The sequence below is a fragment of the Homo sapiens genome, chromosome 17 (genome assembly GCF_000001405.40).
Source record: "Homo sapiens chromosome 17, GRCh38.p14 Primary Assembly".
In the NCBI taxonomy this organism is placed as follows: Eukaryota; Metazoa; Chordata; class Mammalia; order Primates; family Hominidae; genus Homo; species Homo sapiens.
Genome location: NC_000017.11, coordinates 68,370,391 through 68,384,292, shown reverse-complemented (window position 1 = coordinate 68,384,292; position 13,902 = coordinate 68,370,391). Strand labels below are relative to the sequence as shown.

The window sequence follows — 13,902 nt, the reverse complement described above, 5'->3', positions numbered from 1 at the left end:
CCTGAATACATGTTGGGTTGCATTAACCACGGCCATCCCACCACCCCCACACACACCCCACCCTCATCCTGGTTGAGCCAAGGGCCAAGGATCCCACAAAGTTAGCGTGTGCACAGCCTTTCCAAGGCAAGTGCTGTGTGTGGCTCACACACACTGTGGTCATGCAATTTCCCTTTGTTTGGCTGGTGTGAATAATGAAAGCAATTATGTGGGGAGAAGCGTGGGGAGGAAGAAGATGAAGGCTTCTGTCGCCCTGTACTAGCACTGTTGCAAACGGAACCTTTGATGTCCCTGGCCCAGCACACCACACGGGAAATGCTCAGCATTCTTAGGACTCTTTCATAATCAGCTTTGGAGTCCCTCAAGTTTTGAAGTAAGAAACAAAACACAAAATAACTTATGTCCTATGGACTGTTTATGTTTAAGGGTGTGGGGTTGAAAAATCTAACTGGAGTCTCTGCAGGCTGAATGAGACGCTCTTTGATCTAGCCCAGCATTTCTCTAATACATCCTTCCTATCGAGGGCCACGTCTCCCATAAATACATATAGCTCCCTCCAATTTATTCACGCACTTGGAACAAAGAATCCAGAACTCCAGCAAGCATAAAACGCATTTCCACGTGGCTTTGGAATGTATGACTTATGCGTCAGCTTAGGGCCAAAGGGCAGGGAGGAAGCATCCGCTCAAAGGCATGTGCCAGGGCTTTGTAGATACTTCCACCCCCGTGGGGGCATCTTTGTGGAAGCTTGGGGTATGGGTGGGTGAAAACGGGGAGCCTGTTTATCTGCATGTCCATGGTGTACACTATTCAAATAGTCTTGCTTAACCTTTGAGGCCAGATGCTAAGGAAAGATCACGGCTGTGGTTCCAGGAAACAAGCCATTAGCTCTATCGGTCAACCAGAAGGCACTGGGGTGGGCAATGGCACCAGGGTTGAACACAGGATTTGGTCTCTGCCTCCAGGATGTTTCCAGAAGGGTAAACTGACCTTTAGTTAATAAATTTGCTAATTGGTCTTCACCAATTAGGGATTGGTCTAATTAATAAATTTGCTAATTGGTCTTCACCAATTAGGGATCCCTTCAAGAATTAGGGATTCTTCTCGTTTGCCACAACCTTTTGTGTTGCTCTCTTGTAGGTGACTGACTTTCCTAATACGCTCTTCAGAGAAAAACGTTTCAATGTGCTTGTCTTATTTCAGCAAAGGACTGAAAGCTGGAGGGGTTTGGAGGAATCCAGCTAGTTATAAAACAGGTGTAGTCAACAAAGCAGACAATCTCCTTGCAAAAGATTCAGGAATTAGGAGAAAGAAAAAGATTGGCTGAGAGAAGCCTCTCAGTGTGGCCACTTAAGGAGCAATCCCCTCTTTTTGTTGTACAGACTAGTTGGTTAGTGCAGGCTACATCCTGGGTTCTGGCTCTAACAGGAAGACACAATTATATATGCCAGCCACCCAAATGATCACAGGTCCACAGACCTTGTATTCTAAAGGGATTTATCTTAAAAGGGTCTAGAGTGTGAACAGGCAATTGTAAAATATTTATGTGTCACCAACAGCGCAGATACTGTCTTGCTATAAATCTCAGCTTCTCACTGGTACTGCTAGGAGTGGACAAAACTTACAAAGATCTGACTGGCATTCTATCGGCCCCTAGGATTGTGTACTCTAATTATGAGATGCATATGCTTATATCAAACAGGCGTGTTGTGTTTTATCTGCACCAGCAAAGGCTAAATTCTAGGATAGCTACTCCTGATCCCCCAATATTCTTCAGTAATACCTGCTCCCACTAATGGATAGTTATTCTAAGTTAAACATAATAGTAATAACAACAACAATAACATCTCGTATTTATTGAGCCCTTACTAAGTACCAAGTTAAGTGCTCCTCAGCATGATACATGCTTCCTGGCATTATCTCATTGAATCCTTATGACAACCTCTCAAGTTAGCCACTATTGTCCCCATCTTTCAGATGGGGAAACCAAAGCTCAGAGAGGCTAAGTAATTTGCCCCCAAGTCACATAGCTAGAAAATGATAGAGCCGGCCGGGTGCAGTGGCTCACGCCTGTAATCCCAGCACTTTGGGAGGCTGAGGTGGGCAGATCATGAGGTCAGGAGTTCGAGACCAGCCTAACATGGTGAAACCCCATCTCTACTAAAAATACAAAAATTAGCCAGGCGTGGTGGCGCATGCCTGTAATCCCAGCTACTCAGGAGGCTGAGGCAGGAGAATCACTTGAACCCGGGAGGCGGAGGTTGCAGTGAGCCAAAATTGAGCCACTTCACTCCAGCCTGCACGACAGAGACTCTGTCAAAAAAAAAAAAAGGAAAGAAAGAAAATGATAGAGCCAAGATGTGAACGCCGGTCTGACTACACAGCCAGCACCCTCACTCACTAAACCTAGGGAGGTGGTTCCATTTTGAATATGTATTAGAATCACTGGAGAGCTTTTAAAAAATACGCATGCCAAAGTCTCTTTCCCAGAGACTGTGATTTAATCGACCTGCAGTGAAGCTCTGACATCAATATCTTCTAAAACCCTCCTGGGGATTTAGTGGGGAGAGCACTCATTCCCAGGGAAGGAGGGCAAGGGGCAAGATCGGGAAGAGAACACAGCACGTTTCAAAGTTAAATGTAGCTAATAGTCATCGTCACTGCAGGCTTTCTGTTGCCCACGACTTTATACCTCTATGCCATAGCATCATAAATATGACCTTATAAGTCATAGTAAGAACAATAGACAATCCATAAATGAAACTTCTAATCACTTTTCAATTTCAAACACTATTCATTTAGATAAGCCTCCATACTTTGATCAGGCACTGGCACATTAAAACTGTTAGTTGCCTTCGGCTTTCTGTCGAGAAATGCGTGTCTTATGGCCATGAGAATGCATTTCTACGCACTTGTGGTTACTTGTGACTCTAATTAAAGCAGAACCTCTTAAAGCAATAAATATTTAGCCACAGCAACCAAAATATCAACAAAACCATGATTCATGAATTTGCTTATTTGTGCTTCTCTGGTTACGGAAGTGAAGTGGCATTTTATGATGCATGAAGACAGGGGCAGGCCGGGGAAGACTCACCACTGCCCACGCGGAGGAACAGTGGTCTTTCTTGGCTGGGACCCAAGGGCCATGTTTCACTGAGTCAGAAAGGCAATGCAGCAAACAAGGAAATTCGCAAATTTCTCCATACAAGAGAATCACCAGATGAGATCTCATCTAAGACATGGATTTCTGGGTCCTATTCCCAGGAATTCTAATTTAATAAGTCTGGGGTGGGGCTCTGATTCTAGGTAATTCTGATGTCAGTGGTTTGAAAACTAGAGTTGAAGAAGTATTCAAGGAATAATTAGGATGATGCCTTTGGGGGCAGGCAGGTCTCCAGTGCCACCCCTGCCAACCAAGTGGTCTTGGGCAGAATTCATAACCTCCCTCAGTCTCAATCATCTCAGCCAGGAAGCAGGGAAACGATTGTACAGTTGACCCTTGAATAACACAAGAGTTAGGGCACTGACTCCCAAGCAGTTGAAAATCTGGGCATAACCTCTGACTCTCCCAAAACTTAACTACTAATAGCCTTATGTTGACCAGGAAGCCGTACCAATAACATAAACATTTAATTAAGACACATTTAGTATGTTACATGTATTATATACTGTAGACTTACAATAAAATGAGCTAGAGAAAAGAAAATGTTAGTAAGAAAATCCTGGCCAGGCACAGTAGCTCAAACCTGTAATCCCACCACTTTGGGAGGCCAAGACAGGAGGATGGCTTGTGCCCAGGAGTCCGAGACCAGACTGGGCAACATAGTGAGACCCGTGTCTCTACTAAATAAATAAATAAATAAATAATTAGCTAAGTGTGGTAGTCCCAGCTACTTGGGAGTCCTAGCTGGTAGTCCAAGTTACTTGGGAGGCTGAGGTGGGATGATCGCTTGAGCCCAGGAGGTTGAGGCAGCAGTGAGCTCTGATTAGATCACTGCCCTCTAGCCTGGGCAACACAGCAAGACTGTCCAAAAAAAAAAGAGTAAAGAAAGAAAGAAAGAGAGAAAGGAAGGAAGGAAGGAGGAAGGAAGGTAGAAGGAAGGAAGGAAGGAAAAAGAAAATTGGAAGAAAGACAAAATATATTTTCTATTCATTAAGTGGAAGTGGATCATCATAAAGGGCTTCATCCTCGTTGTCTTCACGTTGAGTAGGCTAAGGAAGAAGAGGAGGAGGAAGAGGAGAGGTTGGTCTTGCTGTCTCAGGGGTGGCAGTGGCAGAAGAAAATTCATGTATTACGTGGACCCATGCAGTTCAAATCCGTGTCGCTCAAAGGTCAGTTGTACGTATCTCACAGGGCTGTGGGAACAGTTATATAAGACAGTGTACATAAAGCTTCAAGCAAGGTACTTTTGCATAATGCCTGCCAGAGAAGTGCCAACCAAATTACCTGTAGGGAGAAAATAGCAGAGATCACAACCTCCGACAGTTTGGTTGGGCATGCCTAGTGTTTTTCATTTAACTAATGCTGAATGTCATTCGACAGGGTCCTCTCTCCAGCATATTGAATTCCTAACACTGCCCATAACTGACAAAAACAAACATGTGTTCCTTTATATCACCTGCCTGGCCCACAAAGGCATTAGCATTTGTGACTGGGTAGAGTGCCTGTTCTGAGGAGTGCACATTCTAATAACCTTCTAAAGAAGCAGGCTTTCAGCCCAGTGCAGTGGCTCGCACTTGTAACACCAGCACTCTGGGAGGCCGATGCAAGGAAGATCACTTGAAGCCAGGAGTTCGAAACCAGCCTGGGCAACAAGCAAGACCCCTCTGCTCCATCTCTGTAAAAAAAAAAAAAAAAAAAAAAAAAAAAATTGTAGTGTTCCAGGCATGGTGGCACACACCTGCAGTCCCAGCTACTAAGCTACTAGGGAGGCTGAAGCAGGAGGATTGCTTGAGCCCCGGAGGTCAAGGCTGCAGTGAGCCATGATCAGACCACTGCACTGCAGCCAGGGCAACAGAGTGAGACCCTGTCTCTACAAAAATAAAATAAAGAAGCAGGCTTTGTTTCTAAGTGTAGTATGTCCCCTTGCCAAGGATGCCTACAGTGTACTCGTTTTCTAGAAACACAGGGCGGCCTGGCCTCTATTCAGACCCAGGACTCCGGCTGGCCTGGGGTGGCCCTGAGTATGGGATGAGGACATTCCACCAAGCCTGGTGGCCAAAGGCCCAGAAAGAGACGCAGTTTGACTTCCTCTAGGTCCCTATCAGCAGGCCCTGTCCCCAGCCAGGGCCAACAGCCAGAGTCCCTTATCCCTTGCTCTGTCACCTCACAGCACCTCTGACTTTTCCCCGCCCCACCCCCGACCCCAAACTGGACAGAAGGCCCAGGATGCAGAGACTGCTTCCCAGCGGGAAAGGTTATGCAACAACCTGATAGCATCAAATTACAAACAACCAAGGTCTCCTAGGAGCCTGGATGCCAAATTCAACAGAATGTTTCCTCATCACCAAGGGGGAGGAAGGAACAGTTCTGCTCTTCAAATAAAACGAGAAAAGATTTTCCAGACAGAGGAGCAGTCAGTTAGGGGAAAAACAAGGTGTTGGTTCTGTCCTGGGTAGGAAACAGATCTGGCATGGAGAAGGGAAGGCGGCTGCTGGGAGAGCCAGGCCTCCTGGACCAGGCTGTGGACTCAGAGACAGCAGGGGTGTCTGACTCGTGCCCTTCTTCTTCGGGAGAAGGCAGGGCTGCTTTGCTCTGCCCCCGCCCCAGTTCCGTTTCTCCTCACCCCTGCAGGGCACAAGCCAAGTGGAGCATTCTCAGTCCACACGCACGGGGTGAAAAGATGACTCCAGGAGACGCTGCCTCATCCCATCAGCTGAGCTGGGCGGCTCGGCCAGGAAAGGAAAGGGAAGACAAGCAGGGGGGCCTGGGGGCCCTGAGAACAGGGGAAGACAGCACGTGGCCTGACGCAGCAGCCTGGCTTCAGGGAGAAAGTTGCACGACTCCGGGTACTGTTTGTCCTACTCCGTTGCGAAAACATTGACCGCCTTCTCTCTTTCATCTGCTCTTGAGTCTGGCCCCTGTACAGTGAGCCGTGCAGATGTCCCACTGATGGGGAACTGGGTGAAGAGGAGCAGGTGACCAGAGGGACCCCAGCCCCCTTGACTCACAGGACATGGCCACCTGCTGAGCAGGGCGCTGCCTGGCTTCCCAGAGCTCCAGCAGCATTCCAGGCAGAGAGGAAGAAGGAGGCTGTGGAATAGTTAGTTGACAGGAAGCCGCTTTGGAGACTGAGGAAGAAGAAGTATTTACCCCCAGGCAGCAGCCTTTCAGGCAAAGTTCACTTTCAGACTCCCAAGAAAAGAGGGCAATGGCATCCAGCCCCAGCCCGATCATGAATTCAAGTGCTGTCACCCACCGATCCCACATCAGAGTTACTGGGAAGGCCTTGCCCCAAAAAAGAATGTTATCTTGAGGTGCCTGAAATTCAGCTTCAGAACAAAGTTTCCCAAGAGTTCCTGAACACTTTTAAAGTTATCTGTATGCGATTTAAGTTGCCTGATCCTTTTGTGGGGGAATCTTTTTCAGGGTGTTTGCCAATCCCCTTCTAATGCTTCTATGGGTGGGGTTCCGCCAGGTTGTTTCAGCCAGGAATGAAGAAATTTAGTCTAATGGGGGTTATCATTAGAGGCCAGGTGCAAGGCTGGGAGCCTCCTGGGCAGTACCCCCACTGATTCTCCCAACAGTCCATGGAGAATGGTCCACAACCCCACCTAATGAGAAGAGGATGCTGAGCCCTGAGCTGAGTCAAGATTCAAGCCCAGCCTGAGCCTCCAAACCCTCTCTGCCTCCCACCGATGTAGAAAGATTCAGACTGTTGCAAGGGCTAAAGACTTTTCCTTGACAATTGCTAGGTTCAAAGAGCAAGATAGGATTTTCCAGGTGGCTGAGGAGTCGAGTATAACAAGGTGTGCGTGAGAGCAGTCACGTGACTTGGAGAATGAGCCAGTGATGGTCAGAGGATGTGGACCCCTCCATTGCTGGCTGGCCTCGGGGATGCCTTCCATTCTCCTTGGCCTCAGTTTCCTCATTTGTCCAATAAGGTGGTTGGAATAAAGATCGCTGAGGTCGGCCAAGCACGGTGGCTCACGCCTGTAATCCCAGCACTTTGGGAGGCTGAGGAGGGCAGATCACTGGAGGTCAGGAGTTCAAGGCCAGCCTGGCCGACATGGTGAAACCCCGTCTCTACTAAAAATACCAGACATGGTGGCGGGTGTGGTGGTGCACGTCTGTAATCCCAGCTACTCAGGAGGCTGAAGCAGGAGAATCGCTTGAACCTGGAAGGTGGAGTTTGCAGTGAGCTGAGATCGCACCTCTGCACTCCAGCCTGGGCGACAGAGCAAGACTTTGTCTCAAAAAAAAAAAAAAAGATGACTGAGGTCTTTTCCAACTTTGGCGTTCTTTGAACTTGGGGATATTCCTGGAGATTTTGTCACTGGCTTCTCTCATTGGTCATTTTGGATCAGTGGAAATGAGGCTGGTACTTGCCCTTCTCCTTGTTCTCAGCTCCCCTGATATAAGAGGGATCTTTTAAAAAAAAATTGAATAGTATGCTGGAGGGGGAGTGGGAAATGGTGAGCAACTGTTTAAAGGATATGGGGTTAAATAAAATAAATATATATATTTTAAAAGCTAGGCATAGGACAGGTGCAGTGGCTCACACCTGTAATCCCAACATTTTGGGAGGCTAAGGTGGGAAGATTGCTTGAGCCCAGGAGTTTCAGACCAGCCTGGGCAACATAGCAAGACCCCGTCTCTACAAAAAAAATTTTAAAAGGTAAAGAAAAATTAGTTGGGTATGGTGGTGCATGCCTGTGGTCCCAGCTACTTGGGAGGCTGAGGTGGGAGGATTGCTTGAATCCAGGAGGTTGAGGCTGCAGTGAGCTGTAATGATGCCACTGCACTCCAGCCTGGGCAACAGAGCAAGACCCTATCTCAGAAAAAAAAAAAAAAATGCAGGGGGCGCAGTGGCACACTCCTGTAGTCCAAGGTACTCAGGAGAATGAGGTGGGGGGAATCCCTTGAGCTCAGGAGTTTGAGGCTGCAATGAGCTATGATCGCGCCATTGCACTCCAGCCTGGGGGACAGAGCAAGACTGTATCTCTAAAATATTAATTAATTAATTAATTAAAGGATATAGGGTTTTCTTTTGAGGTGATAAAAGTGTTTTGGAACTAGACAGATGTGGTCGTTGCACAACATTGGGAAGGTGCTAAGTGCTACTTAACTGAACAACTTAAAATGTTAATTTTATGTGATGTAAATTTCACCTCCATATTTAACATTAAATAATGTCCCTCCCACTCTTAAAATCTTCCCATGGTTCCACATTTCCTTAAAATAAAAGCCAAACTGAAAAGATCGTTGAACGCTGGCCCCATCTCTCGCTATTCTCCTTGGTCGCCACAAACTCCAGACTCACAGACACAGGGGCAGCTCTAGGGAGCGGCTCCTACTCCCCGATGTTCCCACCCCTGCCCGGGCTGCTGCCCTCGCCCAGAGCCTCTTCTCCTGCCAATTCCTGGCTGTCTCCTACTCATTCTTCAAAACACAAATCACCCCCAGGGAAGCCTATTTGCTACCCAATATGGTAGCCACTAGCCACATATGGCTACTGAGCCCTGGAAGTGTGGCTGGTGTGACCAAGGAATTGAATTTTAATTAAATTGTATTAATTTTAATTTAAATAGCTATATGTAGCTAGTGCCTGACATACCAGACTGTGTAGCTCTAGACAGGTAGTTCTCAAATTTTAACCTGCATTATCGCCCAAAGGACTTGTTTAAACACAGATTCCTGGGACCCATCCTGAGTGCTTCTGATTCTTTTGGCCCGGGGTGAAGCCCTAAAATTTGTACTGTTAACAATTTCTCAGGTGGTGCTAATGATGCTGGTTAGGGACCACACTTTGATAACCATTGGTCTAAAGTTGAAAGTTCTACACTCAGATGATTCTAGACTCATGGTCTAGATGTAGATGTTCTGGACTGGTGGTTCTCAAAGTTTGGTCCCTGGACCAACCACATCAGCGTCACCTAGGAGAACCTTAGAAATGCAAAACTCCCATCAGCAACCCAGCCCTCTTGGGTCAGAACTGTAGGTTAGCAAGATCCCCAGGGGACTGTCTGCATATTAAAATCAAAGAAACACTATTCTAGACTATTATTCCTTGCGGCTGGGGCTTTGTTGATCTTTGTGGCACCAGCACTAAGCATAGTTCCTGGCACACAGTAGGTGCTCAACAAATAGGAGGAATAGAAAACAGTAGGCACTCAACGAATGCTTACAGGAGGAAGGAAGGAAAGGAGAGATGGTGGTTGCCCAGCTAGTAAATTTATTTTTATTTTTCTGTTTTCTTTCTCTTTTCTTTTTTTTTTTTTTCTGAGTCTCACTCTGTTGCCCAGGCTGGAGTGCAGTGGTGCAATCTCAGCTCACTGCAACCTCCTCCACCTCCCAGGTTCAAGTGATTCTCCTGCCTCAGCCTCCCGAGTAGCTGGGATTACAGGTGCCCGCCACCATACCTGGTTAATTTTTGTATTTTTAATAGAGACGGGGTTTCACCATGTTGGCCAGACTGGTCTTGAACTCCTGACCTCAAGCTATCTTCTTGCCTCAGCCTCCCAAAGTGCTAGGACTACAGGCATGAGCCACTGCACCTGGCCAGCTAGTAAATGTATTTCTCATCATTCCCTCGAAGAATGGGGTCCCAGTCCACATCCTTAAGCCTGACTCACTATTTCAAAACTGCCTCATAAAGAGAGAAGAGATCAATAAGGCAAGTCCTCAGATAGGAGATCAGTAGGTAAATTCTTCTCCCCACGGAGAAGCCACTTACTTACAGATCCTTCCCCCTGCATCCATGGTCTCCACACCTTCTGCACCTTCTGGACTTTTAGCCTTGGGGCTTCTGACACCAGGCTATTCCAGGCTTTCTAACTGAACACTGAAGATGACAGCCTGGCCCAAGAGTGTCCCAGGTACAGAAAGGAGGAATTGTAATCAGCTAATGCAACAAACCACTCCCATTTATGCTGTATTTCTCTAGGCTCTTGTTTCTTTTTTTTTTTTTTTTTTGGAGACAGAGTCTCGCTCTGTCACCCAGGCTGGAGTCCAGTGGTGCGATCTCAGCTCACTGCAAGCTCCGCCTCCCTGGTTCACACCATTCTCCTGCCTCAGCCTCCCGAGTAGCTGGGACTACAGGTGCCCGCCACCATGCCCGGCTAATTTTTTGTATTTTTAGTAGAGACGGGGTTTCACCGTGTTAGTCAGGATGGTCTCGATCTCCTGACCTCATGATCCGCCCGCCTCGGCCTCCCAAAGTGCTGGGATTACAGGTGTGAGCCACCGCGCCTGGCTGGCTCCTGTTTCTTGACACACCCCCATCCACCTCCAGTCCTCCTTAGCATCTTCTTTTGACCCAACTCTCCAGAAATCACAACTAAATCACAGCATTTTTGAACTGAAGAGGACCAAAAAGATCTATACATATATATAGAGAGAGAGAGAGTGAGAGTGAGAAACACCAATACTCCAAGAGATAAAATAATCTGGTCACTGAAAAGGTTAGTGGGAGGTGGTACTCAGCTCTCCTGACCCCGACTCAAATTTCCAGACACAAGATATGGCCACAGTCCTGCAGCCACTTGCTCCTAAAGTTCTCAAGATATCTGATCCAAGGGACAATAGGTTAAAATTGAAAAGTAGGCCAGGCATGGTGGCTCACGCCTGTAATCCCAGCACTTTGGAAGGCCAAGATGGGTGGATCACCTGAGGTCAGGAGTTCAAGACCAGCCTGGCCAACATGGAGAAACCCCATCTCAACTAAAAATACAAAATCAGCCAGGTGTGGTGGTGGGTGCCTGTAATCACAGCTACTAGGAAGGCTGAGGCAGGAGAATCACTTGAACCCAGGAGGCGGAGGTTGCAGTGAGCCGAGATCATGCCATTGCACTCCAGCCCAGGGAACAAGAGTGAAACTCCATCTCAAAAAAAAAAAAATTGAAAAATAAAAATGATCATGGCCGGGCACGGTGGCTCATGCCTGTAATCCCAGCACTTTGGGAGGCCGAGGCAGGTGGATCACTTGAGGTCAGGAATTCAAAACCAACCTGGCCAACATGGTGAAACCCCGTCTCTACTAAAAATACAAAAACAAAAAAAAACAAACAAAAAATTAGCTGAGCGTGGTGGCACACACCTGTAATCCCAGCTACTTGGGAGACTGAGGTAGGAGAATCGCTTGAGCCCAGGAAGTGGAGGCTGCAGTGAGCCAAGATCGTGCCACTGCACTCCAGCCTGGGTGACAGAGTGGGACTCTGTCTCAAAAAAAAAAAAAAAAAAAAAAAAAAAAAAAATCAGCATTTCCTTCTCTGCACCAGAATTGAGGCGCACAATGCTTCAGTTTCTAGGTAACTACAATTATCCTGCCAGACTAATACGATGACGGGAGTGCTAGTGGAGACCTCCTGGAGACAGCTGAGGGTCATAGGTCAGGATTGAGTTTGACAGCAGGGAAAACAGCCTGATACGGTTTGGCTCTGTGTCCCCACCCAAATCTCATGACGAATTGTAATCCCCAGTGTTGGAGGAGGGGCCTGGTGGAAGGCGACTGGGTCATGAGAGCGGATTTTCCCTTTGCTGTTCTCATGATGGTGAGTGAATTCTCATTAGCCTTGGCTGTTTAAAAGTGTGTGGCGCCTTCCCCTTCACTCTCTTCCTCCTGCTCCAAACATGTAGGACATACACGCTTCCCCTTCGCCTTCTGCCATGATTGTAAGTTTCCTGAGGCCTCCCTAGCCATGCTTCCTGTACAGCCTACAGAACTGTGAGTCAATTAAACCTCTTTTCTTTATAAATTACCCTGTCTCAGGTAGTTCTTTATAGCAATGTGAGTTTATTTTATCTCTTGGAGTATTGGTGTTTCGATCGATCGATCGATCAATTGATAGATAGATAGATAGATGACAGTTAGATAGAACTGGCAGACAGACAGACAGATAGACCTTTTTGGTTCCCTCTAATTCAAGAATGGTGCGATTGTGTGTATTAGTCTGTGGACTAATACACAGTCCCAGATCTAAAATTCTGCCCCACACATCCCTCAATGAGGGTAAACTTGCCAGGTCCACCTCTGAACCTCTTGGACACAAATACCTCCTAAACATTTAATTTATATGAAACAAACAATACCAGTTTATTGTGGGGGGAAATTCACCCCTTCAACTCTCCCTCCGCTGCCCAGAGGTAATTATTGCTAATGTTTTGTTACCCTTTATTGACTCTTTCAAGATTTTTTTGAGTCTACATGTGATTATTTTTATATAATAAAATCATACTTTACATATTGTTCCATACTGGAACCTGCTTTATTCATTTAAAAATATTTCATGTAAATGTTTCCAAGTCAATAAATATGAATTATTTTAGTGGTTCTTTGTTATTCCTTTTAATGGAGGTATAATAATTTCTTTAAGCACTATCTTCTTACTAGACACTTGGGTTATGTCCAACTATGAAAAAAATTCACTGCAATGAGCATCCTTTTTCGTATGTCATTGAGCATGTGCCTAATTATTTCCTTAAGACAAATTCTTACAGGAGGAATTGATGCATCAAATGATATGCGTATTTTTCAAGCATTTGGTCCATATGTCAAATTGTCCCCAACATGGCTGCAGTCTCAGAAAGTGAGGTCCTTGTGGCAAAGCTCTCCCAGAGCAGATGGGAGCTGAGTTGGAAGTTGGAAGATGTTGAAATAGAGACAGAGGCAGCTGTGAGAAGCATTATGGTACAACAGGGCGAGCACCAACTTTAACTTCAGTGGAAAACCTGGCTCCCTCCTCACAAACTGTGTGACATGGGCAAATTACTTACCCTCTCTGAGCCTCTCTCCTTCTTTTTTTTTTTTTTTTTTTTGAGACGGAGTCTCACACTCTCGCCCAGGCTGGAGTGCAGATCTCAGCTCTGTCTCTGCAAGCTCCGCCTCCCAGGTTCACGCCATTCTCCTGCCTCAGCCTCCTGAGTAGCTGGGACTACAGGCGCCCGCCACCACGCCCGGCTAATTTTTTGTATTTTTAGTAGAGATGGGGTTTCACCGTGTTAGCCAGGATGGTCTCCATCTCCTGACCTCGTGATCCGCCGGCCTGGGCTTCCCAAAGTGCTGGGATTACAGGCGTGAGCCACCGCGCCCGGCCTAGCCTCTCTTTTTCTTCATCTGTAAATGGAGCTATGACTGCCACCCTCTCACTCTTGTAAGAACTGGAGACAATGTACATTAAAAACCTTGTACAGTTGTACACTAAATATTTTTTGAATGGATGAAATAAATTAATGGTTAGATGGATGGAGGGATGAAGTTTTAAAAAGGAAGGAGGAAGAGCAAGGGAACAGGATGAAAGTAAAGACAAAGCTCATTTGTTGGAATGTTTGTAGGTAGACTGGCTCGTTGGGTGGAGGGCTGGTCGCCTTTGGGAAGTTCTAGGAGGAAAGGAGAGACAGGGATGGTCCAAACTGAGCAGTCGTTTTCTCCACCACTACTTGTTCCTTCTTGTCTGGGTGCTGGTGGCTGGTGAGCAAATGTGTCCCTGTTTCACAATGATGACCCTAAGGCCCAGATATAAGTTGTCCCCCACCCGGAGGCAGAATCCCACACCCCAGCCTGGGCTCAGCATTGCAATGGGATCCACCAACCCCAGCTGAGCCCCTTACCTTGACGAGTTTGCCAAAATCCAGTGAAGGGACCCACACTGCCCGCTAGCTCACACTTCTGAGCCCACGGGCCATTGTCTCCTAGAAACCAGAAAAAGCATTAATGGTCACCAGGCTGGTTGGACACTTTCGCT

General features: G+C 46.8%; 1 protein-coding gene across 44 annotated transcripts in view, besides 2 other annotated features; it reads right to left on the bottom strand.

Moving 5' to 3' along the window:
* Positions 1 to 13,902, bottom strand: part of ARSG (arylsulfatase G) — a 192,850-nt gene that overhangs the window by 67,727 nt on the left and 111,221 nt on the right. For 39 of the 44 annotated variants that reach the window (XR_007065287.1, XM_047435644.1, XM_047435647.1 and 36 more), the window contains one exon: positions 13,769 to 13,849. Coding sequence is in view for 43 of the 44 variants with exons in the window: in XM_047435644.1 (XP_047291600.1) it covers positions 13,769 to 13,849 (81 nt within the window). In the remaining variant the exon portion in view is untranslated. Of the gene's footprint in view, positions 1 to 3,611; positions 4,448 to 13,768; positions 13,850 to 13,902 lie in introns of those variants that run through there. The other 5 variants (XM_047435653.1, XM_047435651.1, XM_047435654.1 and 2 more) reach the window with 2 other exon arrangements.
* Positions 2,859 to 3,059: a silencer, noted in NCBI's record as "peak2959 fragment used in MPRA reporter construct". NCBI's record gives its function as "represses an SCP1 promoter by STARR-seq MPRAs in K562 erythroleukemia cells {active_cell/tissue: K562}" and the evidence as "EXISTENCE:reporter gene assay evidence [ECO:0000049][PMID:32103011]".
* Positions 5,556 to 6,075: an enhancer, noted in NCBI's record as "H3K27ac-H3K4me1 hESC enhancer chr17:66374359-66374878 (GRCh37/hg19 assembly coordinates)". NCBI's record gives its function as "activates a minimal SCP1, AML or CMV promoter by ChIP-STARR-seq in primed H9 embryonic stem cells {active_cell/tissue: H9 hESC(primed)}" and the evidence as "EXISTENCE:reporter gene assay evidence [ECO:0000049][PMID:30033119]".